We start from the raw sequence: 25,979 nt of genomic DNA on the forward strand, positions 1-25,979 counted from the left end.
CCAGATTGTGCCACTGCACTCCAGCCTGGGCGACAGAGCGAGACTCTGTCTCAAAAAAAAAAACAAAAAAACAAAAAAAAAACACAAGAAACAGTAACTCCCCATTCCGCCTCCCCCCAGCCCTTGGTAACCTCTATTTTAATTTATTATTTATTTACTTTATTTTTGGTAGAGATAGGTTCTTACTATTTTGCCCAGGCTGATATCAAACTCCTGGGCTCAAGGGATCTGTCTGCTGTGGCCTCCCTAAGTGCTGGGATTACAGGTGTGAGTCACCACACCTGGCTGGTAACCTATATTTAAATTTCTGTCTCTATGTATTTGCCTATTCTGGGTACCTCAAATAAGTGGAATCATACATACTTATCCTTTTATATCTGGTGTATTTCACTTTACATAATGTCTTTAAGTTTCATCTGTGTTGTGGTATGTGTCACAATTTCCTTCCTTTTTAAGGCTGATTAATATTTCTTTTTTTTTTTTTTTTTTGAGACAGAGTCTTGCTCTGTCGCCCAGGCTGGAGTGCAGTGGCACAATCTTGGCTCACTGCAACCTCCACCTCCCGAGTTCAAGCAATTCTCCTGCCTCAGCCTCCCGAGTAGCTGGGATTACAGGCATGCGCTACCATGCCTGGCTAATTTTTGTATTTTTAGTAGAGACGAGGTTTCACCATGTTGGCCAGGCTGGTCTTGAACTTCTGACCTCGTGATCCGCCTGCCTCAGCCTCCCAAAGTACTGGTATTACAGGTGTGAGCCACCACATCAGGCCTGACTAATATTTCTTGTGTATATATACCACATTTTGTTCACCCATTCATCTGTCAATGGACATTTGGGTTGTTTCCACCTTTTAGCAGTTGCCATAATGCCATAATGAGCATTAGTTTATAATTATCTGTTCAAGTCTCAGCTTTCAATTCTTTCGTGATATACCCAGAAATGGAATTGCTAGATCATATGACCATTCTAGGTTTCTTTTTTAAAATTTATTTATTATTTTAAAAATTTCTTAAAACGTTGAAAGTACATTAAACAAAAAGAAAAATTAGTTACCAATAATCCCACCACTCAAAGATAACCACCATTAACAACAGTCAGGCATGGTGTCATGCAGCTGTAGACCCAGCTACTTGGGAGGCTGAGGAGGGTTAATGGCTTGAGTCCAGGAGTTTGAGGATCTAGTAAGATGATCATGCCACTGCACTTTAGCCTGGATGATAGAGGGAGACCCCATCTCAAAACACACACACAAACACACACACACAACAATAGAGTGTTGATGCTTTCAGACTTCCTAATCTACCCAAACATCCATAAGAAAAATAAAAAGTTAAAATATCATCTCTAATTTTCTCAGCAACACTTTGAGGCAGGTACTGTGGTCACTCTCACTGGCAGGTGAGGAAACAGAGGCTCAATGAATACAGGCAGGGGCTGTGACTCGAGGAGTCAGTTGAGTTGGAAGGGGAGGCTGTAACATCTTCAAGCTTCCTCAGAAGAGCAAGTGACTAGAAGTCGGGCAGAAGTGTAGGCAGTGCTGCAGAAGAAGCAAAGGCTACAAGGTGAGGATAGAACTGGCTCCAGGTCATACCGGAGATTATTAACAAATTTGGAATCAGAATTCAGACCTCCCTGATCTGGATTTTTCCCAAAGAAACACACCCTGCACCTGGTCCTGCACCTGGATTTCTCAAACTTTAGTGCATATCAGAATCCTAATTACAGGAAAATTCCTGGGCCAACCCACCCCTGGAATTTCAGAATCAGCAAGTCTGGGGCAAGACTCTGGAATCCACATTTTAAGCAAATACTCAGGTGATCCTTGGACACTTTAGAATCACTACCCTGGACCATAAGCCAAGGCATTTGATTAATTACACACTAATTTTTTTTTTTTTTTTGGAGACAAGTTCTTGCTCTGTTACTCAGGCTAAAGTGCAGTGGCACAATCATGCCCACTGCAGCCTAGAACTTCTGGGTAGAAGCGATTCCCCTGCCTCAGCCTCCTGTATAGCTAGAACTATAGGTGCACACCACCACGCCCAGCTAATTTTTTAATTTGTAGAGATGGGTCTCGTTATGTTGCCCAGGCTGATCTCCAACTCCAGGCTTCAGTGATCCTCCTGCCTGGGCATCCCAAAGCACTGGGATTACAGGTGTGAGCCACCACAACTGGCTGAGAGCACTAACTTCCATCAGGCTCCCTCGAGAGCAAGAGACTAAGAGTTACCTTTGAAAGAGTTCCCCAAGCCTCCAGACCAGGCATGATCTGGCATTCTGGGAGATTAGCTGTCCCTCCTTGCAGCCCCACAGTGCCCACCTGATCTTCTCCAAAGATTCTCTCACTTTCTGTTCTGCTCTGTGGTTATTTATGAACAGCCCTCACTGCCTCCAAGGATGGGGTAGCCTGCATTCTTGGGGGCTGCCCTTAGCATACTTACCTACGCCACTCAGCTCCTGCTGGACTGCAGATATCTGGAGAGCATGGACCGTACAGAATCTACTTCAACATCCATTCAACATTTTACTGAAGACCTGTGTGTCAGGTAATATGCTGGGTGTTGGGGATACAGAAGAACCTAGCCACTTCCCATCCCCCACACCCTGGTCCAGGCCAACGTTGGACCTTGTTGGAGCCACAATTAATCCTCCTGCAACCTCCCTTGCACACCTCCAATCCATCCTCCATGCAACAGAATTTAAAATAGAAATCTGATCATGTCACTCCCCTGCTTTAAGCCTTCCAGAGGCTTCCATTTTTTCTTAGGATGAAGACCAAAATTCTTACATTCAGGACCTGGCCTGCCTGTCTTGACACAGCTCACCTCACTGATTCCCATTTTGCTTAATTGTTTGCCCTGCAGTCACTATGGCCTTCTTAGAGTTCCTCAGGGTCTTCAGTGGTCCCAGACCGGGAAGCTGTCCATCTCACCACTGACACTGAGATGGGGTGTAAGGAGCAAGATGGGTATTAGGGATCAACTCTTGCAAGAGGAAGTGGGAGAAAGTAGGAATGGGCAGGGAATGAAAAATAGGCCTGACAAAGCCTCAGGTAACCTGCTGGGGAAGCCCTGGAGCTATGGAAACGGCTGGATTCTTATATGCTGAGTACCTGCCTCTTCACTTAGGGTGCCACAGCAATCCCAGGCTAGGCGCATCTCCACACTGGCCAGGAGTAATGTCTCTTATCAACCTTCCAGGGCTGGGGTGGGAGCAGCTCATGGGACACCTCATTTGGGAAATCTTTGTGCAGACCTCTGAACTCTCAGAAAACTCCATCCTTTTTATCCCGAGGAGTTATCACAGTTTGTAATCACGTGTGATGACCTCCGCCTTCCCTAAGAAACTGTATGTTCTACACAGGTAGGAACAGTCAGCTTGACTCTTTGTAGTCCCAGAACTCAGCCTCATGCCTGGCACAGGGTAAGTGCCCAAGAAGAATTTGTTAAATTATGGAATAAAGACGGGTATTATGTCTTGCAAACATATGACTCTCCAGCTATGTGGGTTGATAGGAGGTTGCTGTGTATTTGAAGCTCTCATTTAGCTTATAGGGAGGGCTTTAATGATCATTTCAATCAGGTTTTAGCTTTAATATTTAGGAGCCAGATCCTATCCATCCCCACCTGGTCTAGAGGGCAAAATAAAAGCAAATCACTAGTCCGGGTGAGGTGACTCACCCCTGTAATCCCAGCATTTTGGGAGGCTAAGGTGTGTGGATCACTTGAGGTCAGGAGTTTGAGACCAGCCTGGCCAATATCGGGACACCTTCTCTCTACTAAAAATACACCCCCCTCTACCCTCAAAAAAAATTAGCTAGGCATGGTGATGCATGCCTGTAGTCTCAGCTACTCAGGAGGCTGAGGCAGAAGAATCGCTTGAACCCAGGAGGCAGAGGTTGCAATGAGATGAGATCATGCCACTGCATTCCAGCCTTGGTGACAGAAACAAGACTCTGTCTCAAAAAATAAAAATAAAAATAAAATAAAAAAATCAGATGAGAACAACAAAACAAAATGAACACACACACACGCAAGCTTTTGGACTGGGTTAGCTGTGTACAAAAATAAAAAATAAAAGCAAAGTTCATGCTATTGCCACCATCGTCATCACAACCACCACCCAGAAATTTTTCAAAGGCTCTGTGCATTGTAACAGCAAGCTTGAATTTCCAAACCCAGCGAGCTACACATGAATGGTCCCTGCATGCGTGGGCTGTAGCACTGGGTTAGAAATCACAATTCCTGCTCTCCTTTTAGCTGTACCACCTGAACAAGTCACCTAACCTCTCTGAGCCTCATCTATAAAGTGGGAATAATACTGCCTGTGCTTTTGGGTAAGAAAGTGCTTTGCAAATTGTACAGTGGTTCACAAGAAATCAATGAAGCTTTTTTCCTCATGCAATCTCAGAGAGACGGGTTGGCAGAGGGCATATTAGGCACTCGACTTGTTTTTCACAGTGATGACGTGGGAGCACACATAAGAAGGCTGTGTGCTTGTTGTTCTCAGTTGTGGAAATAGATTTGTGATCACCTCTCTAAGCCCCTCCTCCCCTGTCCCTACTGATCAGAGACAGAGATAACAGAAGAGCATAGTACACTGACACGTGGGTGGACAGCAAGGGACTGCATGGACATTACATGCAAGTCAAGGTCAAGCGTGTTTTGGAGGTGGAGGGTTATGTTTGTGTCTCAACTGGGCAGTTGATAACGACGACACTGAAGGAGGAGCTAAGCTCACTGGGGAAGACTTTTACCTAGAGACTGAATACCTGGCCATCAAGACCTAGTGTAGACAAAGGTGCGGGGGTGGAACCAGTACATGAGAGCCCAAATAACTTTCCAGCGCCTTTGGTGGACCAAGCCAGTTTGCAGACATAGGAATACTCAAAGATATCTTCGGTTTCTGTTGTTCTCCCCACCTACTTTCCTCTTTTATTGGCAACCAATGTATTTAATCACAGTATGAGGTAGGTGTTACCCTGACTTTACGCATGGGGAAACTAGGCTTTACGAAGACGAGGTAGTACAAACTCAGTTAAGCAGTGCACGGCTGTATGCAACTGTGGATATTCCGACTCAGGTCTACCTTCTCCCCTACACTGCTGCCCCAACTTTCATAAACCTAATGTGAGTGTGTGTGTGTTGGGATGTGGGAGCTCTGGGCTGTTTTTCTGGTTGAAAACACCCAGACTCACAGAATTTCCAAGGGGAAGGACCTTAGAGGGTATTTAACTCATTTTGCACATGGAGAATCTGGGACCTAGACGGGATTTTGTAGATTCTGTATTTGTATTTTTGATTTTGTAGATTTTGGTGTCTCCATTAGACCCCGAGTCTTCCAGAACTCCCTTTGCGCCACCCTACGCCACCTCCTAGTCTTGCCCTGCTCTTGCTCTGGGCAAGCCAGGGAGCCTTTCGCCAGCAGACACCGTTACCAAACATAATAGCCCCCTTGTGCTGGGCATTCATTCTTCAACAAATATTTACTGAGTGGCTCCTCTGTGGCGGGAACTGTTAGAGGTGCTGCGAATGCCATGAACAAGAAAGACACTGCCTCTGCCCCTCTGGAGCTCGCACGGTTAGTCGGGGGAGGTAAACCATAAGCCAGTAAAAAGTAACCGAAGATAATTTCAGATGGTAGGCAGAAAATAAAACGGAAGTGATGGAGGTCTGAGGTCAGATGGAGTGGTCGGGAAAACCTGACCACTTGGCAGATGGTCCTTGAAGTCTCACAACAACCCTCAGAGGCCGTGGGCAGATCCCCGTTTTGCTGAGAAGGAAGCTGGCGTTCGGTAGTCAGGGCGGCGTGGCCAAGTCCCAGACTCCTCACCCGCCTTCCTGCCAGCTCTGGTGGGCAGCCGCAGGCACCGTGTGGCCTTGGATGATGAAACTCGGGGCGATGACTGCACCATCCAGCAGCCTGCGTCCTCGCAGGTGCGGGCAGTGAGGGCGGTAGGGGGGCGGACGCGCCACTGGGGACAGGCTGCCAACAGCTCTAGCTTCGCAGACGCGACAGAGAGCACGGCCCCTGCCCCGCCCCTCCAGGCTCTCCAGCCCCTCAACTGGGACAAAGAGCCCGCCCAGCCCCGGCCACGTTCGGACGAACGCTCCCGCCTACTGTCCGGTCCCGGTCCGGCCCGGCGCGGGGCGCTGTGGGACTTGTAGTTCGCGTCACTCTCCGCAGCCGCTCCGGAGCAGCCAGGGGAACTACAGGGCCCAGGAGGCAGCGCACAGGCCCGGGGCGGCCCCGACGGTGGTGGGTGTGCGAGCGCAGGGGCCGGGCGGCGCGGGCGCCGGGCGCGGGGATGCGGCTGTGGGCGCCGGGGCCGGGTAGCTGCTCCAGGCGCGCGAGCTAACCGAGTGCGGCGAGGGCCTACCAGGGGCGACAGGCACGTTGCATGCATGCCTTGGGCGCAGCCTTTGCGAAAGCCGGTTGGGTGTGCGTTGGTGCTTCAGCGGCGCCGTGGAGGGTCCGGGTCGCCGGGGGATGGGCACCAGCGCCGAAGCCAGGCTGGCACCGCTCGCTGAAAGAGCCCTTGGCTGGGCTTGTGTGGGGGAGTGCTGCACGCCTGGGCAGTGCGCGACGTGTTTGTTCTTTTTCTCTTTTTGTGCCAGGGTTTCTCTCCGCAAGCGCGCGATGCAGCGGGCGGCGGCGCTGGTCCGGCGGGGCTGTGGTCCCCGGACCCCCAGCTCCTGGGGCCGCAGCCAGAGCAGCGCGGCCGCCGAGGCCTCGGCGGTGCTCAAGGTGCGGCCCGAGCGCAGCCGGCGCGAGCGCATCCTCACGCTGGAGTCCATGAACCCGCAGGTGAAGGCGGTGGAGTACGCCGTGCGGGGACCCATCGTGCTCAAGGCCGGCGAGATCGAGCTCGAGCTGCAGCGGGTGAGCGCGCGCTGGGCCCCGGGGAGGCTGGGGCCGCTGAGCAAGGGAAAAACCGCAGCAGCCCCAGCTGGGGTCCTTCCCACGACGTCCACCCCCATGGCCAGCTCCTCAGTCAGCCAAGCCTGGCTAAAACGAGAGAATGCCCCCTCCCGCCCGTTCACTTACTGGTGCCCAGCACCGGGCACTCAGTGAGGCCTTGCAATACGGTTCACTTGTTGAATTGAATTCGTCAATTGTTGAGCGGGCCGTGCTGCCAGGCACCGCACGTTGTGTGTCTGCCCTACTCTCGTGGAACCAAGGTCCAGTGGAGAGAGGAACATAAGCGAATGAAGAAAGAAGCAATAGAGTCTCAGTGATAAGTTCTTGGAAAAAAGTAAAACGGAAGAGGGTTGGGATGGGGGCGGTGGGAGGGAAACCATTTTAGGTAGGAGGGGAGACGGGGTGGGGGGGGCTCTGCGGAAAGTTGGTTCTGTTCCCCAGTCTCTTTCTCCGTGTCTTTGGCCTTTAGGGTCTTTGCCAATCCTGATTCCCGGAAGAGAGTCGGCAGAATTCCTTCCTTTAGGCCCCTCTGGAGCCTTGGCCGACCAGCCACTTCTGTGGTCTGGGGACAGTCACCGAGGTGGGGAACCAGAGAGTTGGGCCTGTCGGGCTTTGGTAAGGGGGCCCTGGGACTTTCTTCATCTTGGTGGTCGGCCGGCTGGCTAGGATCTTGGCTTGAGTTTATAGCTTCATGTAAGGTGAGCCCACAGCCAGGAAGGATTTCTGCCTCCCCACAACCAGGATGTCTGGGGTGGGTGATAGAGGGGTCCCTAGGACCTAGGAGAGAGTTATAGCCTGGGTGGAATTCAGGAGGCAGAGCCAGGAGGGGTTATCTTAAAAAGTAAATACTCCTAAGATTTGTAAGAAGCTAATAATCACCTAGCTGCTTGCTAGAGAGAGTCTGACTGAGAATAGAAGTGGGAAGGAGGGTTCCTTGATCTTGCCCTCACCCGGGTCACTAGTGTCCCATGAATGCATGGCAGTAAGCTTCAGGGGGATCATGACACTTGGTCCCATTCCAGTGGGGACTTGGGGGTTTTAATGAGCTCCTGGGCCTCCTGAGACCTTGTTGAGACACTCAGTTCTGCTGACTCAAAACAGTGAGCTGGACAAGTCAGAGTCCAGTCTCCTGCGGACTCCTTGCAGGGCTAAGTTTAAAGCTGGCCGGGAGGAGGCTGGCTTTGTTTCTGTGCCTCCCTGGCCCAGAGGTGGGCCGGGCAGAGAACACAGGCTGTTGATGTCTGGCAGGCTGGAGCTGGCCCTCCTTGACGCAACAGCCTCCCTGCTAAAACACAGCTGGGATTAACGCGTTCCTGGTTTATCACGTTACAGCTGATTTCTCTGGTTCCTGAGCTGGCAGGGGTTCCAGGAATTACCTCTGCCTTTTGCTAAATAGCAACTCCTGTGCTGGCTCCATGAGGCTTGAGGATGATGAGGACAGAAGGGCACTGTCTTTGCCTTGAGGAATCTGACTGCCACGTTGTTCTCTGAGCCTGAGTCCCCTTCCCCGGATTCTTTAAGAATGTGTTGGGATTTTTTAGCAGGCAGAATACGTGAGAGCCTTCCAAGTGGGAGCAGTGCTGTGAGCAACCGCAGGAAGTTGGGGAGTTCTGGGCATTTGGGGAAGGGGGCTGGTGCTGTAGTGGAACACTAACAGAGGGATGTGGGAGGTGAATGAGACAGAAAAGGTGGACTGGAGTCTTGTGTGCTGGGATTAGGATGTCATGGTGCGTTTTGGCTGGAGTTGGGAACCAGGAAGGGTTTCCAGCAGGGGTGTGTATTGATGATTGCAGGTGGGCAAATTTCTTGGTCACTGGGCCAGGGACATCTCTGATTTCTGAGACAGAAGCTCCACACCCCCATATCCTACTCCTGAGTTAGTTGAGTTTTTTTGGCCACCTACATTCTGTGGTAGTTTCATTCAAGCGCATCCCTTCTCATTCTCTTCTCACTGTGAGTCTCAGTTCCCCGGCTGTGGGTGCTGGCCAGACCAGCTTAGATAGCCTCATTGAAACCCTTCCTTCTTGGGAGACAGCCTTGCTTCCCCTTGCCAGCTTAAACAGTGCCCTTCTTGCGAGAGCCACATTTCCCCAGTCCTTTCTTTTTATTTCTGGCTTGCCTTCTCCTTGTGCAGCTTTGGTTTTTCTGCTTCTGTTTTGAACTGTCGTGATCAAAACTGGTTGGTTAGAGGCCGGCCACGGTGGCTCACGCCTGTAATCTCAGCACTTTGGGAAGCCAAAGTGGGTGGATCACCTGAGGCAGGAGTTCGAGACCAGCCTGGCCAACATGGGGAAACCCTGTCTCTACTAAAAGCACAAAAATTAGCCGGGCATGGTGGTACACGCTTGTAACTCCAGCTACTCGGCAGGCTAAGGCAGGAGAATCGCTTGAACCCGGAAGGTGGAGGTGGCAGTGAGCCGAGATGCACTCCAGCCTCGGCAACAGAGCTCAGAGCGAGACTCCATCTCAAAAAACAAACAAAAACTGATTGGTTAGAGATGGGATGGGCTAGGATTTGTAGGGAGTAGGGTGACTTGGGGTGAATCCTGGGCCTCAGGTTCCCTAGAGTATAAACAGATGTGGCCTGGCTGGGCCTGGCTGGGCCAGGGTTTCCCCTGCCCTCAGTTTTATACCTCCTTGTCCATTCAAAACTGTCCTTGGGGACTCAGGGTGACTCGTGACTCTTGGTGGTACCAAGGCCTTCATGCTGTCTATGGAATTCTTTCACCAGGTGTTCTGCAAACAATGTGGGCCGTTTGGCTGGACATGTGGCTCTGGTGTTTGACTTTGGGTGGCTGGCCAAGCTGAGTCCCTATCCTTTTTGCTTCTCTGGTAGTGGAGCCTGAAGGAGGTGGGGAGGTCGGCTAAGGGCTGTGAAAGGGGCCATTCTCCTGCAGCCCCAGCTCTGTGCTCTTAGAGGGGCCTTGCTTCTCCCTGACAGCAGCTCCAAAGGGGAGAACCTATCTTAGCTTTTCAGATCCTGGTGTTCACTGCGAGCAGCACTTAAAAATAAGCTGCAATTAAAAGGAGTTTTGAAAAGATCTGACAGTTCTTCCTCAACCTACTTTTTCCCTTGCTTTATTGGGGGATGGGGGTTGGGGATTGGTACAAGTGGAGACAGGAATGGCTTTGCTTCTGGTTGTAAGGCAACAGTCAGGGCAGACATTCAGAACTGAGGGGAAGACTGACAATTACTGGTTACATCAGTGTGTGTTGCATCCAAACAAAGGTAAAAGCAGAGGGTGCTAAGGCACATGGCTATAGTTAGCTAAGAACTAAGATTGGAAACCCTGTGTGTGCCAAGCACATGTGTTGAATCTCAGTCATTGTTTTCTGTGGCATTTAGATGCTACTTTATTTATTTATTGAGACTGCGTCTAATTCTGTCACCCAGGCTGGAGTGCAGTGATGCGATCTCATCTCACTGCAACCTCCGCCTCCCGGGTTGAAGTGATCCTCCTTCCTCAGCCTCCCGAGTAGCTGGGATTACAGGTGCCCGCCGCCACACCCAGCTAAATTTTTTGTATTTTTAGTAGAGATTGGGTTTCACTGTGTTGGCCAGGCTGGTCTTGAACTCCTGACTTTGTGATCTGTCTGCCTCAGCCTCCCAAAGTGCTGGGATTACAAGCGTGAGCCACCGCACCCGGCCAGATGCTACTTTATTTTTTTAAAGACAGGGTCTCGCTCTATTGCCTAGGCTGGAATGCAGTGGCACAATCATGACTCACTGCAGCCTTGAACTCCTGGGCTCAAGCCATCCTCCTACCTCAGTCTCCTGAGCAGCTTGGACTACAGGTGTGCACCACCATGCCCGGCTAATTTTTAAATTTTTTATAGAGACTAGGTCTTCTTATGTTGCCCAGGGTGGTCTCAAACTTCTGGCTTCAAGTAATCCTCCCACCTTGGCCTCCCAAAGTGCTGGGTGGGTAGGTATGAGCCACCACACCCAGCTACTTTTTCCTTTGTAATTATTATTAAATAATAATACTAATTGTTAATTATAGCTGTTCAGCCAAACAGCCCATACTGTTTGCAGAGCACCTGGCGAAAGGATTCCATAGCTCTGTCACCCAGGCAGGAGTGCAGTGGCGCAATCTCAGCTCACTGCAGCCTCAACTTCCTGGGCTCAAGCGATCCTTACACTTCAGCCTCTTGAGTAGCTGGGACCACAAGGCGTATGCCACCACGTCTGGCTAATTTTTGCATTTTTTTGTAGAGACAGGGTTTGCCATGTTGCCCAGGCTGTTAATTTTTTTTTTTTTTTTTTTTTTTTTTAAAGAGACAGAGCCTTGTTCTTTCTCCTAGGCTGGAGTGCAGTGGTGCAGTTATAGCTCACTGTGGCCTCAAATTCCTGGGCTCAAGTGATCCTCCTGCCTCAGCCTCTTCAGAAGCTAGGACTACAGGTGTGTGCCACCATGCTGGCTAATTTCCTTTTTTGTAGAGATGGGATCTCGCTTATGTTGTCCAGGCTGGTCTCAGACTGCTAGCCTTGGGTGATCCTCCCACCTCAGCCTCCCAAAGCGCCAGGATTACCTGTGTGAGCCACTGTGCTTGGCCTAGATGCTACTTTAAAACTTGTAGTGCAGGCTTCCAATAGGATGAACCCTCCGCCTACCCAGCCTGCCCAAGTCAGTCACCACACATACGCTGGGCTCTGCCTTTGTGTGCTATGGGCCTTAGACAAGTCATTCAGCCTTGGTTTACTCTTCTGCAAAATGTGACCAGTTTATTTCTCTGAAAGACTAGTTTGAGATGTTAATGATAATGCTTTGAACAGCTGTGAAGCTAATTAGACCTGCCAAGTCTTCCTTCTGAAGCTAATGAGAGTGGTCTGGGGATAAGAAGTGCTGAAGGTCGCTTGTCTTTCCCACTTCCTGAGGCTCTGGGTCTGGGAAGTGTTCTGTGGGGCTTGCTCTTTCCTCCTGGGCCTCTGCCTTGCTGTCTTGAGCAACTCGCACTATCCTGTTTGGAGTTTATTCAGCTTTCACCCCTGCTTCTGCCTTGGAATCTGGGCTTCTATAGTTGACCACCCCACGGATGCCCAGAGTTCAGGGGCCTACACCCTGTCTTCCCTGCCTCAGTGATCTGGCAGCTCAGCCCTGGAGGCTCTTGCCTGCACTCTCAGTCACAGACGTGTGTAGCTGCAGCTCCGGTTTCTTCTGGTTTCACTTGTCTTTCTGTTTTGGGACCAGATCTTGTGCTGAGCCTCAGCTGTGAAATGGACCTGTTTTCTGGGACTGTGGGGTCTAGTTGGTGTTTGTCTTTGGGGCCTCTTGCTGGAGCTTTCTGCCCGCCCTAGCCCCAGTCAGTGCCCTTTTTGGGATCAGGAGCCCGGGAGCATTTTCACATTGTGCTCCTAGGCCTGGGACCTGCGGGTCCTCTCTCCCACACCCTGCCATTCTCCTTCCCTGCACCCCCTTCTTATTCTTCACCAGCCTGGGCTCAGGAGGGTGGCGGTCTCATCTGTGCTACTCATGGCTGTCACTGGGGCATGGGTGACCAGTATTTGTTGAATTGGAGGAAAGTTCTCTGCCATCCTTTCTGCCCACAGGCCATGTGAAGTGACCAGAGCCATCCCTTGCATAAGGAAACAGCCTTGTGCCTGTTTTTTTCTCCCCATTTTTATTGAGGGGGAGACAAATATAATTGACAAAGAAAAATTGTATATATTCAAGGGACACAGTGTGGTGGTTTAACATTTATATACATTCTATATGTAATATGATATGGAAATGATTATCACAGTCAATTATTAATACTCCATCCTTTACCACACATAGTCACCATCTGTGAGTGTGCGCCTGAGACACTTAAGTCCTGTTCTCAGCAAATTTCAAGTAAAAAATACAGGTTTTTTGTTTTGGCTTTTTTTGTTGTTGTTTGTTTTGTTTTTGAGATGGAGTTTCGCTCTTGTTGCCCAGGCTGGAGTGCAATGGTGTGATCTCGGCTCACCCCAACCTCTGCTTCCCGGGTTCAAGCAATTCTCCTGCCTCAGCCTCCCGCGTAGCTGGGATTACAGGCATGCGCCACCACACCCAGCTAATTTTGTATTTTTAGTAGAGATGGGGTTTCTCCATGTTAGTCAGGCGGGTCTCGACCTCCCAACCTCAGGTGATCCACCCGCCATGGCCTCCTAAAGTGCTGGGATTACAGGCATGAGCCACTGTGCATGGCCGAAAAATACAGTATTATTAATTATAGTCACCATGCTGTACATTAGATCCCCATAACTTATTCATATTTTTTTAAATTACTATTTTTTTGAGACGGAGTCTCGCTCTGTTGCCCAGGCTAGAGTGCAATGGTGCAATCTTAGCTCACTGCAACCTCCGTCTCCCGGGTTCAGGTGATTCTCTTGCCTCAGCTTCCTGAGTAGCTGGGATTACAGGCACCTGCCACCACACCAGGCTAATTTTTTTTTTTGAGATGGAGTTTCGCTCTTGTTGCCCAGGCTTGAGTGTAGTGGCGCAATCTCAGCTCACTGCAATCTCCACCTCCTGACTTCAAGGGATTACCCTGCCTCAGCCTCCCGAGTAGCTGGGATGACAGGCACACACCACCATGCCTAGCTAATATTTCCTGACCTTGTGATCCGCCTGTCTCGGCCTCCCAAAGTGCTGGGATTACAGGTGTGAGCCACCGCGCCCGGGCAGTAGATGTATTATTTATGAGGTACATGAGATATTTTGGTACAGGCATGTAGTGTGTAATAATCACATCAGGGTAAATGAGGTATCCATCCCCTCCAGCATTTGTCCTTGTCTTACAAACAATCCAATTATATATACTCTTTTAGCTTTTTTTTTTTCAATGTACAATTATTATTGACTATAGTCACCCTGTTGTGGTGTCAAATACTAGATAATTCCTTCTACTTTTTGGTACCCATTAACCATCCCCACTTCTCCCCACCCACCCCTACTGCCCTTCCCAGACTCTGGGAACCATCCTTCTATGCTCCATCTTCACGAGTTCAGTTTTTAAAATTTTTTAGCTCCCACAAATAAGTTACAACTTGCAAAATGTGTCATCTTACAACTGAAAGTTTGTACCCTTTGACCAACATTGCCACATATGCACTCCCCCAACCCCACTGCTGGCAGCTATCACCTCTGCTTTTATTAGTTCAACTTTTTTAGACTAGTTTAACTTTTTTAGATTCCACATATGAGTGAGATCATACAGTGTTTGTCTTTCTGTGTCTGGCTTTTTTCACTTCACATAGTGTCCTCCAGGTTCATCCATAATTTTGCAAATGGCTGGATTTTCTTATTTTTTAAATGGCTGAATAATAGTCCATTGTGTATATGTACCATATCTTTATCCATTCATCTACTGATGGACACTTAGGTTGGTTCCATATCTTGGCTCTTAGGAATAGTGCTGCAGTGAACAAGGGAGTGCGGACATCTCTTCAAGACAATGATTTCATTTCCTTCAGATCTCTACCCAGCAGTGGGACTGCTGGATCCTAGGGTAGTTCTATTTTTAATTTTTCGAGGAACCTCCATACTGTTTTCCATAATGGCTATACCAATTTACATTCCCACCAGTGGCGTGCAGGGTTCCCTTTCCCCACACCCTCACCAACACTGATCTTTGAACTTTTTATAATAACCATGCTAACAAGTATGAGATGATATCTCATTGTGGCTTTGAATTGTGTTTGATTAGATGTTTTGCATCTTTTTCATGTATCTGTTGACGATTTGTGTGTCTTTTGTGGAAAGACTCTTCACATCCTTTGTTCATTTTTACATCAGGTTTAATCAGTTTTTTTTCTTGAGTTGTATGAATTCCTTATTTGCATATATTTGATATTTGGATATAAGGATCCCATTATCAGATATTTTGTTTACAAATACAGTTGTCTCTCAGTATCCAAGGAGGCCTTCCCTCGGATACCTAAATCCAAGGATGCTCATATAAATGGCGTAGTATTTGCATATGACCTATGCACATCCTCCCGTATAATTAAATCATCTTTACAGCCTCTATAGATTACATATAATACGTAGTACATATTGTGTAAATAATGGTTCAACTCTATTGTTTAGGGAACAATGACAAGAAAAGTCTGTATGTTTGTGTTTAGTACAGGTGCAGGGTTTTTCCTGAATTTTTTGTTTGTTTGTTTGTTTTTTGTTTTTTGAGTCGGAGTCTTGCTCTGTCACCCAGGCTGGAGTGCAGTGGCGCAATCTCGGCTCACTGCAGGCTCCGCCTCCCGGGTTCACACCATTCTCCTACCTCAGCCTCCCAAATAGCTGGGACTACAGGCGCGTGCCACCACGCCTGGCAAATTTTTTTGTATTTTTAGTAGAGACGGGGTTTCACCGTGTTAGCCAGGATGGTCTCGATCTGCTGACCTCGTGATCTACCCGCCTCAGCCTCCCAAAGTGCTGGGAATACAGGCTTGAATCACCGTGCCTGACCCTTTCCTGAATATTTTTGATCCACGGTTGGTTGAGTCCGCAGATGCTGGAGCCACGGATGCGGAGGCTGACGGTGTTCCCTTCCGTGGGCCGCCTTTTTGTTGATTGTTTCCTTTGCTGTGCCTTGTTAGAATATCCATCCGCCCCTGACCCTCATGCTGGTGCGAGGCCTGTGGGTTGGGGAGGACAGTTATTCTCCCTGCTAACACCCTATGAAATATGCCGTCCCTAGAGCTGGGGGGTTGGTGCCCTCCCCTGATCCCTGCTTGAGCCAAAGCGGCGGGAGGGGAGCCCTCCCTGGGAAGGACCTTCCGTGCATCTGTGCCGCACAGGGGAGGTGGCTCTGGGAGGGATATGTGCAGGTGGATTCGAAGGTGGCTCTAGAATGCCGTGAGAGGAATCAGGATGCTGCGGCTCCTTAGTCCCTCTGAGCTGGCAGGGCCCTGAGGGCAGGGCAGGGGCGAGGTTCCCATGGGTGCTGTGCCTGTGGGCTCTGGACCAGTCACTCTGGGAGTCTACCCCAGGGCTCTTGGTATTTCCCATCCCATGTAGACCTTGAGTTCCCGGATGCAGGAGTGTGCTCAGAACAGTTTCTTCTGCATGGTGGCCCTTGGCTGGGTGGGCTGGTTTCTTCACCCATTCAGGGTAGCCAGTGTCCTGACCCCCAGCTCATCCATCATAGCAAAGTGTCCAGGATCTGCAGGCACCAAGACCCAAGAATGGAGGTGCTGTGTTCCCAGGCTTCGCGGCAGCGGCCCTGCATTGGTCGAGCAGTGCGGGGGGAGGGCACGGGAAAGGAACATTCAGGGCTCTGTTCCAGGCGTTATTCTCTCCCTGTGTTGGGCTGGCCCAGGGCCCACAGCTGTGTGTTGGTTCCTGGGCCTCACAACTGTGACAGATTTACTCCCTGTGAAGAATGGGCTGTATCCACATCCCAGAAATCACCCAGGTTCAGCGAGCTAGACCTGGGGTCTGCAACAATTCAGTCAGGCTGAGCAAGGACCCCATGCCAGGAGCCCAGGCCAGTGCCAAGCAGTGGATCGGGCCCGTCCCTTTGCACACAGAGGCTTGGGTAACTGCCCACACCCTCAACCTTTTGGGATCCTGGCTGTGGGATGAGTGTGGGGGCTGCACACCCCTGCAGCCAGAGCCTCTCCAGAGTGCCTGTACCCCCATGCAGTGGGCAGTGCTGCCCTGGCTCTCCAGACACAGTGGCTGCGTCTGGATGCCACTGGGAATCTTTTTTTTTTTTTTGAGACGGAGTCTCGCTCTGTCGCCCAGGCTGGAGTGCAGTGGCGAAATCTCGGCTCACTGCAAGCTCCGCCTCCCAGCTTCATGCCATTCTCCTGCCTCAGCGTCCCGAGTAGCTGGGACTACAGGCGCCCGCCCCCACGCCTGGCTAAGTTTTTGTATTTTTAGTAGAGACGGGGTTTCACTGTGTTAGCCAGGATGGTCTCGATCTGCTGACCTCGTGATCCGCTCGCCTCAGCCTCCCAAAGTGCTGGGATTACAGGCGTGAGCCACCGCACCTGGCCGCCACTGAGAATCCTTATCCATGTTGGCCAGACACTGAAGAACTCAGCAGATGGGCCACAAGGGGCTTAGAGGACCCCCTTCCCCGAGAAACATAGCTTGTAGGACTTACGCCCTGTTTATGATGGTCCAGAGCCACTTCCGGGGCATCTTCAGTCCCCCATGCCTCCTTGCTTAGGGCTTAGGGGTGGCACACTAGGGCCAGAAAAACATGTTTAGCTGCTGCTTTTGTCTCTCAAGCCTGCTGGTTTGTTGTTGTTGTTTTTAGGAGACAGGGTCAGGCCAGGCGAGGTGGCTCACACTTGTAATCACAGCACTTTGGGAGGCTGAGGTGGGCCAATCATTTGTGCTCAGGAGTTCAAGACCAGCTTGGGAAACATGATGAAATCCCATCTCCATTAAAAATACAAAAATTAGCCGGGTGTGGTGATGCTTATCTGTAGTCCCAGCCACTTGGGAGGCTGAGGCATGAGAAATGCTTGAACCCGGGAGGTGGAGGTTGCAGTGAACCGAGATCACACCATTGCACTCCAGTCTGGGTGACAGAGGGAAACCCTGTCTCAAAAAAAAAACAACAAAAAAAAGGGTCTCACTCTGATGCCCAGGCTGGAGAGTAGTGACGTAATCATAGCTCACTGCAACCTTGAACTCCTGGGCTCAAGTGTGATACTCCCACTTCAGCCTCCCCAGTAGCTGGGGCTATAGGCATGTGCCACCATGCCTGGCTAATTTTAATTTTTTGTAGAGACAAGGTCTTGGGCAACTTGAAAGTGTTGCCCAGGCTGTTGTTGAACTCCTGGCCTCAAGGGATCCTCCTGCCTTGGCCTCCCAAAGTGCTGGAATTACAGGTGTGAGCCACCACGTCCAGCCACTGGTTTTTACTTAAGGTGTACATTACTGATTTTGAAAAGGCCATGTCTTCTAAAGTTGCTTTTATTCACACATTGCATGAAAAGGAGAAAAGACAAGTGTCACAAGCACAGAGTTATATCTGTAAAATTTGTATTTGGGGTACCTTTGGGGAAGGGGCAGCTGGAGACAGGACAAAGGCCAGGCCCTCCCACCCGGGCTGTGGCCACCACCTTGCTGAGCCCGTTTTTCCTCCCACTGTGACCCTGGTGACCTTGTTCCTGGGCCGGCTTTTGTAAGATGATATTTGTACTCTGCTAAGGGCTTTCACACTGTTTGTTTCAGGTAATCCTTTCAGCTGCCCTGGGAAGTCCTTGAACCTGTTGTTGACTGCATTTCTCCCAGTGGCTGATTGGGTTTATCAGGGAAATGTGCAGGATTCCCACGTTTCCAGGTCCCTGTAATTCTCTATGTCAAGCTCTGCTTTCGCCTTTGCAGCAGCCATGGTGTCCTTCTGTCACCTCCCCAGTGATGTCACAAGGGTCTTGGACTTCTCTCTGTGATCTCTCTTCTGTGCTACACACATTGCTCAGGCAGTGGCCTCAATTTGCTCTTCAGTCAGTCTTTTTAATCCCTGATGCTTTTTTTTTTTTAATGTGAAAATCAGCCCAGATTTTTCATTCTGCAAAGAATGGGTTGCAAGAAAATGACCCTGAGGATTCCCTGCTGATCCATGTCTTCCGATGGGGAGGGTGTCCTCAGTGTCCCTGGCTAGTCATTTAGACCATTGCGGTAGAGCTGCGCCTGGGGCAGGATGCAGAGGAGTCTGGGACCCTGTGTGCCTGACATTTGGCATGTTCTGCTGCTGACCCCTGCCTCCCTCCCACACATCTGGCCCGGAGCTGCCTTTTAGACTTCCCTGTGTGGTGGCAGTCAGGCAGCGGAGCAGCAGCTGTTCGGGATGCTTGGGCAGCCAGAAAAGCTCTTCCAGCCCTTCTGGAAAGTGGGAGGCAGAGGAGGAGCATAGTGGTTAAGAAGAGTGACCTTGGAATCCGTCTTCCTGTACTTATATTCATTCCCAGCACTTACATTAATCAGTTATGTGGCTGGGCACAGTGGTTCACCCCTGTAACCCCAACACTTTGGGAGGCCAAGGCGGAGGATCGCCTGAGCCCAGAAGGTCGGGGATGCAGTGAACCATGATCACACCACTGCACTTCAGCCTGAGTGACAGAGTGAGACCCTGTCTCTACAAAATAGTAACAATAAGTAATAAATAAAATTATGTTGGTCAGGCGCAATGGCTCACGCCTGTAATCCTAGCACTTTGGGAGGCTGCGGTGGGTGGATCACATGAGTTGGAGACCAGCCTGGCCAACACGTTGAAATCCTGTCTCTACTAAATACAAAAATTAGCCGGGTGTGGTGGTGCACGTCTGTAATCCCAGCTACTCGGGAGGCTGAGGCACGAGAATTGCTTGAACCCAGGAGGTAGAGGTTGCAGTGAGCTGAGATGGCACTACTGTACTCCATCTTGGGCAAGAGAGCAAGCCTCTGTCTCAAAAAAATAAAATTATGTGACCTTGAGGAAGTTTCTACCCTTTAAGAGCCTTGATTTCCTCATCTGTCAAATGGGATTAATACTAGTTCTTCCTCATGGGGTGGCTGTGAAGGTTAAATGAGACCAGGCATGTCAAAGGCCTGGCACCAAGTCAGATACTTGGTAAGCCTCAAAATAGGGCTGTTTATTAATATCCTGCGGGAACCTTGCCTGGCCTCTGGAATCCAGGGTTTAAGAGTTTCTAAGTAACCACCTGTTGCTTTCTCTCTGCCCAGGGTATCAAAAAGCCATTCACAGAGGTCATCCGAGCCAACATCGGGGACGCCCAGGCTATGGGGCAGCAGCCAATCACCTTCCTCCGGCAGGTGAGCCGCCCCCAGGAGCAGAGGCTGCAGGAGGGCAGGGCCCTGGGCTGGGCGGGCCGTCATAGGGGCCGTCCTCTGCCCCCTCGATGTCCAGGCCCTCCCAGCCTGATACCCTCTGGCTGTCTCCCTTAGCCTCCTTCCTGCCTTTCTGAGGTTGTTGAAAATTCCCAGACCTGTTTTGGGGTTGCTCTGGTGTAGGAGCCTCCCAGGGAGACTCTTCCACAAGGCGGGGTCCTGGGAGCTGAGTTAGGAACTTGGTGGGCAAAGGCAGTGGTGGGGTAGGCGGCAGCCCAGAGGACAGGGAAAGGCTGGCTGGGCTGGGAGGAGGCGTCGGGGGGCAGCAGGAGGTGTCATGGTGGGGGCAGGATGTGGCTTCCCACTTGAGACCCTCCTGGGTGTGAGTGTGGGCTCTGCTGCGTACCAGTTGGGTGGCTTTGGGCAGGTGGAAGTTGGCAGAGCGCCGCCTCGGGAGATTGCCGGGCCTTGGTGAGGCGATGAGTGCAGAGGCCTCCTGGGGCCCAGCACAGGAGCTCCAGATTGGGGACGGCCACTGTGAGCCGCTGCACCCCTGGCTGCCTCTGCAGTGACCCAGCTCCCTCCTCAGGCTCCAGGAGAAGGCGGCTTCCATGTTTCAGTCTGAGCACTAACCTCGAGAGTGCTGCCTGGGCCGGGATTGTGGGATTATGGGATTGGTGGGCTGGAGGCGGTGGGGTGGGAGATGCCCCAGGGCAGGACAGAGGCGGGAGACCCAGTGTGTGACAGCTTTTTCTAGAAGGACTGAGGCCTGTTTTGTTTTATTTAGGTTTTGTTTTTGTTTTTGTTTTGTCGCCCAGGTTTGTTTTTGTTTTGTTGCCCAGGTTGCAGTACAGTGGTATGCTCTCGGCTCACAGCAACCTCCACCTCCTGGGTTCAAGCAACTTTCCTGCCTCAGCCTCCTGAGTAGCTGGGATTACAGGCATGCACCACCACGCCTGGCTGATTTTTGTATTTTTGGTAGAGATGGGGTTTCTCCATGTTGGCCAGGCTGGTTTCAAACTCCTAACTTCAAATGATCCGCCTGCCTCGGCCTCCCAAAGTGCTGCGATTACAGGCGTGAGCCACCATACCTGGCCTGTTTTATTTATATTTATATACATATATATATATATATACGTATATATATACACATATATATACACACACATATATATGTGTATATATATACACACACATATATGTGTATATATATACACACACACATATATATATATATATAACACACATATATATATATATATATATATATATATATATATATATTTTTTTTTTTTTAGAGACAGAGTCTTGCTCTGTTGCCCAGGCTGGAGTGCGATTGTCATGATCACTGCTCTCTGTAACCTCAAACTCCTGGGCTGAAGCAATCCTCCTGCCTCAGCCTCCTGAGTATCTGGGACTACAGGTGTATGCCACCACACCCAGCTAATTTTTAAAATTTTTGGTAGAGACAGGGTCTTGCTGTGTTGCCCAGGCTGGTCTCGAATTCCTGGACCCAAGTAATCCTTTCCTGCCTCAACCTCCTGAGCCACACTGGGATTGAGGCCCATTTTGGATCAAAATGCAGTGCTGTGTGTGGTTAAGGTTCATGGGCTAGGGCCATCAGGGAGGTTGAGCCCCAAGAACACCAGTTCCCTGTTCCCTGCCTTGTTCTCTGGGGCAGAGGGCTGGGGAGGGGCTGGGAGGGCTCAGCCCACAGCCCCTGAGGGAGTTGTCACAGGGCAGTGAGGGAGAGGAGCTGAGGCTGGCCCTGGTCTGAGGGGCGCTCACTGGGCCTCCCTCCCACAGCCACTGCTGCTGACCCTTGGAGCAGGCCAGCAGCCCTGGATGTTAGAGTCCCCATGCTGGGCCCAGGAAGGGGAAATGAATCAGACCACACAGAGTGGCTCTGCCAGGGAAATGAGGTGGGAGGAGGCCAGAGGGCCCTGACTTCCCTGGAGCGTGAGCTTTGAAGGGGAGGGCCAAGTGAGAGTGGCCTCTCAGGAGAGGTCCCCTCATGGGCCTGGGTTTAAGTTGTGGCAGGCTTCAGAACAGGCCTTACTCAGCCTTATTTGCTGGAGACGTGTTCCCAGGTCCAGCCCTGCCACTGTGCATGGCAGGCCCAGCCTCTCCAGCCTGGTGCCAGCTGCCTCTAGCCTTCACACATCTCCTCTGACCTGCGCAGGTGCACCTGGGAGGCGGGCAGGCCAGCTCAGTGCCCATTGTGCAGATGAAGAGAAGCTGGGCTCCATGAAGCCAGGCGCTCGCTGAAGTCACCCCACTGGTGTCAGAGCCACAAGTCCTGACCCCCTCAGTGCACCTGGCTTGGCTCCTCAGTGCCAGCCTCAACTTGCCGGGCGAGCTGGGGTTACCAGCACTTTTGTACACATTTGCTTGCTTAATCCTCTTAATTTGTGGGGTTGGGGTGATGTTCTCTGTTACAGAGAAGAGAAAGCTGGTCCAGTTTTCATCTAGGGAGGAAAGGGGGTGATGAGGAATGCAGGGGGAGGGGGCCTAGGGCGTTGAGGGAGCTCAGGCTGGGAGTAGGGGGTTCTGCAGCCATGCTCCACCCAGCTGGGCATCGCCTGCCCCCTGCTCTGCAAACCCCTGATTGTGCCTTGGGTGTGTGAGCCCACTGTCCCTAGCGGAAGAGCTTGGGCCAGGGGCGAAGTAGCAGCCTCATTCTGATCATTGGCTTCTCTTCCAGCAGCCCAGGTCATAGTGCATCCCAACTCTCAACTTCTCCCCTTCTGCTGCAGAGAGCCCAGCGTCTTCCCCTCCCACTCCCAAGCTCCCACAGGCTGAGTCCTCGCAGAGAGGCTTGCGTCAGCCCCATCCCTGGGAGCTGTCATCCTCCCAGTGGCCTCTGTGCTCCTCCTGGAGCTCTAGGAGTGGGGGTGCTGGGAGCTCAGCCTGTGTCTTGTTCCCCCAGGTGATGGCACTATGCACCTACCCAAACCTGCTGGACAGCCCCAGCTTCCCAGAAGATGCTAAGAAACGTGCCCGGCGGATCCTGCAGGCTTGTGGCGGGAACAGCCTGGGTGAGGCCCCAACTTGCCAGGCCCCTAGGCGTGAAATGAATGAGTGTTCCCAGGCGGCCCCAGCCTCAAGCGGAGGGTCCTGCATGCGAATGGGTGTGTGAACGTGTGTGGGTGGCTGACAGCACACAGAGTAAACAAAAAATAGCGTCCTCTTCCCACTCACACCTTGCTGGCCTCGTTTATTAAGCAGGCGGTGCCGGTGCCACCTTTAGGTGCAAGTGCCTGCATCATGCCGGGTGTGGGTGCTCCTCCTGGGAGCCAGCCTCATTGGACAGCAGCTGAGCCTGCCTTCGTCACAGCAGGTTTCACCCAGCAGCTGGAGGCCAGGTAGAAACGCAGTGCTCAGTTTTGTTCAGCATCCTTGCCTCTCTGTGGCCTCCAGCTCTGAACATGTCTCTGCACTGTCTTGGAGATGGCAGCCAATTGCTAGGGAAGGGAAGCACCTTGGGACCCCTCCAGCCCCTTTCTCTGGCTTTCTTCAGTCTGATGGTGCCAGTACCCCCTGGTACTTCATGGTGTTCCCCTCAAGCCGGCCCTCACTCATCCTTTCAGGGACCCATGCCCCAATGTCTGCATCCTGACGTGGCACCAGGCTCCACAGAGTGGACCTGGAACTTGGCCCCTGTAGATGTGAAGATGATTCTCTCCCTCCCCTGCGGTGATGGAGTTCCAGCCTCTGGGCCTCCAGGTTTTTGTTCTGTCATTTTCTTTCCTCTGTTTATTTCTGCTGGTTCCTTCATGCAGCACCCACGCTGGGAATCCAGCTTCCTTCGCCCTGAGGAAAACTGCTGTTGTTCTTAGAGTCTTCCTAGGATATGAGCCCTGATGTTCCCGAAAGTGGAGCTGAGGGTGGGGACAGATTCCCGTGGCTTGCTCAGCAGGGGAGTGGCCCCCCTTGTTGTCTCCATCTCCCGCCACCCCCGCCAACTTTTTCTGCTCCGTCCCTTATTGACGGCCCTGTGCTTACCCTCCTGGCTGTGGCCCCCCTGCCCTCCCTTTGAGTCTGGACACTGTCTCTCTCAGGAGGGGGCCAGCTGCCCCTTGCTTTCCCACCTGCCAGCCTGGATGGGGTGTGGGCTGGGGCCTTGTGTGCCAAGACCTAAACCACAGGCTGGCAGAAAGCAGCCCTGCAGCCCAGAGGCCCGGCTTCCGGGCTCCTTTCCCCCCTGCACCCTCTGCCTGGCCCCAAGGGCAAAGGTGTTTCCCAAAGACCCCGTGGCCATGGGCCTAAAACTCCTGGAAGCCCCCAACTGAGAGGCAGGGGGAGGGGAATGTGCCTTTTGTGTGTCTGATGCGAGTGTCTGGGGACCAGGTACGGATTTTTGTTCCACGTGCTAAGCCTCATCAACAGGTTTTTGCAACTTCGTGTGAGCCAGAGCTGGGGTAGTGGGGCTGAGAGACTGTGTCCCTGTGAGTTCCCTCGTGGGGTATTACAGCAAAAGACCAGTTGGCCCTCATGGTTTTTGGGACCCACCCTAAGCCCTGTTCCAGGACCTCATAAACAGGTGAGGTAGGAGTCCTTGGAGTCTCTCTCATCCTTCAGCCAGGAAGTACTTTGTACCCACCTCCTCGGCTTGCAAGGAAGGTTCATGTGTGCTAAAGCCCCTTGTTAGCTGTAGACAAGCCCTGCCCATTCCAGGGGGCAGGACAGTGTGGTCCTTCGCGTGACAGGGACATAGTGGTGTCGCTCTCTGTCACCTACGCTCTGGGCAGCCTGAGCACTTTTCTGCCCACAGGAGTAAAAAGAAATGGAGCATGTCACTATGCTCCATGGCCACCCTGACCCACAGGGAGATTATTAAATATGTATACAAAGTCTTGAAGCTCATCCAGAGATTTTATTTATTTTTTTGAAACAGAGTGTCACTCTGTTGCCCAGGCTGGAAGTGCGGTGGCACGATCTTGGTTCACTGCAACCTCTGCCTCCCGGGTTCAAGCGATTCTTCTGCCTCAGCCTCCTGAGTAGCTGGTACTACAGGCACGCGCCACCACGCCTGGGTAATTTTTGTATTTTTAGTAGAGATGAGATTTCACCATATTGGCCAGGCTGGTCTTGAACTCCTAACCTCCTGATCTGCCCACCTTAGCCTCCCAAAGTGCTGGGATTATAGGCGTGAGCCACCGCGCCTGGCCACTCAGGATGTGTTTTTATCATACCCTTTAAAATTATTTCTTGGGCCGGGCGTGGTGGCTCACACCTGTAATCCCAGTACTTTGGGAGGCCAAGGCAGGTTGATCACCTGAGGTCAGGAGTTAGAGATCAGCCTGGCCAACTTGGCGAAACCCTGTCTCTACTAAAAATACAAAAATTAGCCAGGCATTATGGCGGGTGCCTGTAATCCCAGCTACTTGGGAGACTGAGACAGGAGAATTGCTTGAACCCAGGAGGTGGAGGTTGCAGTGAGCTGAGATCATGCCATTGCACTCCAGCCTGGGTGATGAGAGTGAAACTCTGTCCCCTCCAAAAGAAAAAAATATATATTATTTCTTAGCAGGGCTTCATGTTTTTGTTTTTTTTTTCTTTTTTCCTTTTTAAGAGATAGGGTCTTTCCCCGTCACCCAGGCTGGAGTGCAGTGGTGCAATCATAGCTCACTGTAACCTTGACCTCCTGGGCTCAAGCAGTCTTCCTGTATCGGCCTCCCAAGTAGCTGGGACTACAGGCACACACCACCACACTCAGCCAACTTTTATATTTTTTGTAGACATAGGGTCTCACTGTTGTCCAGGCTACTCTTGAACTCCTGGGCTCAAGCAATCATCCTGCCTCAGCCTCCAGAGTAGTTGGGATTACAGGCATAAGCCACCACACCCAGCAACTTCATTTATGTTCTGTTTGACGAGCAATTTGGTTCTCAGGTTTGTCCTGGATCTCAATGGGGTTGAGGTAAAACCTAGCACCTGCCTGGGGTGGGGCAGGAGCTGTGTGCCCTTGTCAAGCCCCTCCCTGAGTACATACCAGGCTGTGTTCTAGACACCAAAGACACTGGTGAGCAAGGTGGGTGGAGCTTCTGTGCTCACAAAGCTATCAGATTTGGGAGAAACAAACATGAAAAAGAATATATACGAATGTGTAATCACTAGTTCTCATGAGATCTCGGAGAGAGCTGCAGGATTATAACGAGGGGCTCTAATGGAGAGGAAGAGCTTAAGGGGAAACGTGGCATTCACGCTCATGGGGAGGATGAGTAAGAACCTGCAAATGCATGCCGGACCAGCGAACAGTGTGTGCAAAGGCCCTAAAGTTGGGACCTCCATGTGACTGAA

General features: G+C 51.3%; 1 protein-coding gene and 1 non-coding gene across 9 annotated transcripts in view, besides 7 other annotated features; one reads left to right on the forward strand and one right to left on the reverse strand.

The window, feature by feature from the left end:
- Positions 5,683 to 6,275: an enhancer, noted in NCBI's record as "H3K27ac hESC enhancer chr16:46917671-46918263 (GRCh37/hg19 assembly coordinates)". NCBI's record gives its function as "activates a minimal SCP1, AML or CMV promoter by ChIP-STARR-seq in primed H9 embryonic stem cells {active_cell/tissue: H9 hESC(primed)}" and the evidence as "EXISTENCE:reporter gene assay evidence [ECO:0000049][PMID:30033119]".
- Positions 5,683 to 6,524: a biological region, named in NCBI's record as "H3K27ac hESC enhancer GRCh37_chr16:46917671-46918263".
- Positions 5,835 to 5,904: an enhancer, noted in NCBI's record as "active region_10780". NCBI's record gives its function as "activates an Ori minimal core promoter by ATAC-STARR-seq in GM12878 lymphoblastoid cells {active_cell/tissue: GM12878}" and the evidence as "EXISTENCE:reporter gene assay evidence [ECO:0000049][PMID:35858748]".
- Positions 5,955 to 6,524: a silencer, noted in NCBI's record as "silent region_7436". NCBI's record gives its function as "represses an Ori minimal core promoter by ATAC-STARR-seq in GM12878 lymphoblastoid cells {active_cell/tissue: GM12878}" and the evidence as "EXISTENCE:reporter gene assay evidence [ECO:0000049][PMID:35858748]".
- The window catches only part of GPT2 (glutamic--pyruvic transaminase 2), a 46,928-nt gene continuing 27,234 nt past the window's right edge, over positions 6,286 to 25,979 (forward strand). Inside the window, exons 1-4 of one of the 8 annotated variants that reach the window (XM_047434812.1) lie at positions 6,286 to 6,391; positions 6,618 to 6,882; positions 19,572 to 19,661; positions 22,606 to 22,807. In XM_047434812.1, coding sequence (XP_047290768.1) covers positions 6,640 to 6,882; positions 19,572 to 19,661; positions 22,606 to 22,807 — 535 coding nt within the window. In that variant the 5' untranslated portion in view covers positions 6,286 to 6,391; positions 6,618 to 6,639. Of the gene's footprint in view, positions 6,392 to 6,602; positions 7,256 to 7,390; positions 7,537 to 19,571; positions 19,662 to 22,605; positions 22,808 to 25,979 lie in introns of those variants that run through there. The other 7 variants (NM_133443.4, NM_001142466.3, XM_047434815.1 and 4 more) reach the window with 7 other exon arrangements.
- Positions 8,345 to 8,398, reverse strand: SNORD148 (small nucleolar RNA, C/D box 148). The gene has a single exon (NR_145840.1). It is a non-coding gene; the product is annotated as a small nucleolar RNA, C/D box 148 (small nucleolar RNA).
- Positions 17,941 to 18,235: an enhancer, noted in NCBI's record as "tiled region #10353; HepG2 Activating DNase matched - State 5:Enh, and K562 Activating non-DNase unmatched - State 7:EnhWF". NCBI's record gives its function as "activates a minimal TATA promoter and a strong SV40 promoter by Sharpr-MPRA in HepG2 and K562 cells {active_cell/tissue: HepG2 | K562}" and the evidence as "EXISTENCE:reporter gene assay evidence [ECO:0000049][PMID:27701403]".
- Positions 19,223 to 19,895: an enhancer, noted in NCBI's record as "H3K27ac-H3K4me1 hESC enhancer chr16:46931211-46931883 (GRCh37/hg19 assembly coordinates)". NCBI's record gives its function as "activates a minimal SCP1, AML or CMV promoter by ChIP-STARR-seq in primed H9 embryonic stem cells {active_cell/tissue: H9 hESC(primed)}" and the evidence as "EXISTENCE:reporter gene assay evidence [ECO:0000049][PMID:30033119]".
- Positions 21,420 to 22,359: an enhancer, noted in NCBI's record as "H3K4me1 hESC enhancer chr16:46933408-46934347 (GRCh37/hg19 assembly coordinates)". NCBI's record gives its function as "activates a minimal SCP1, AML or CMV promoter by ChIP-STARR-seq in primed H9 embryonic stem cells {active_cell/tissue: H9 hESC(primed)}" and the evidence as "EXISTENCE:reporter gene assay evidence [ECO:0000049][PMID:30033119]".

This window comes from Homo sapiens, chromosome 16 (genome assembly GCF_000001405.40).
Source record: "Homo sapiens chromosome 16, GRCh38.p14 Primary Assembly".
In the NCBI taxonomy this organism is placed as follows: domain Eukaryota; kingdom Metazoa; phylum Chordata; class Mammalia; order Primates; family Hominidae; genus Homo; species Homo sapiens.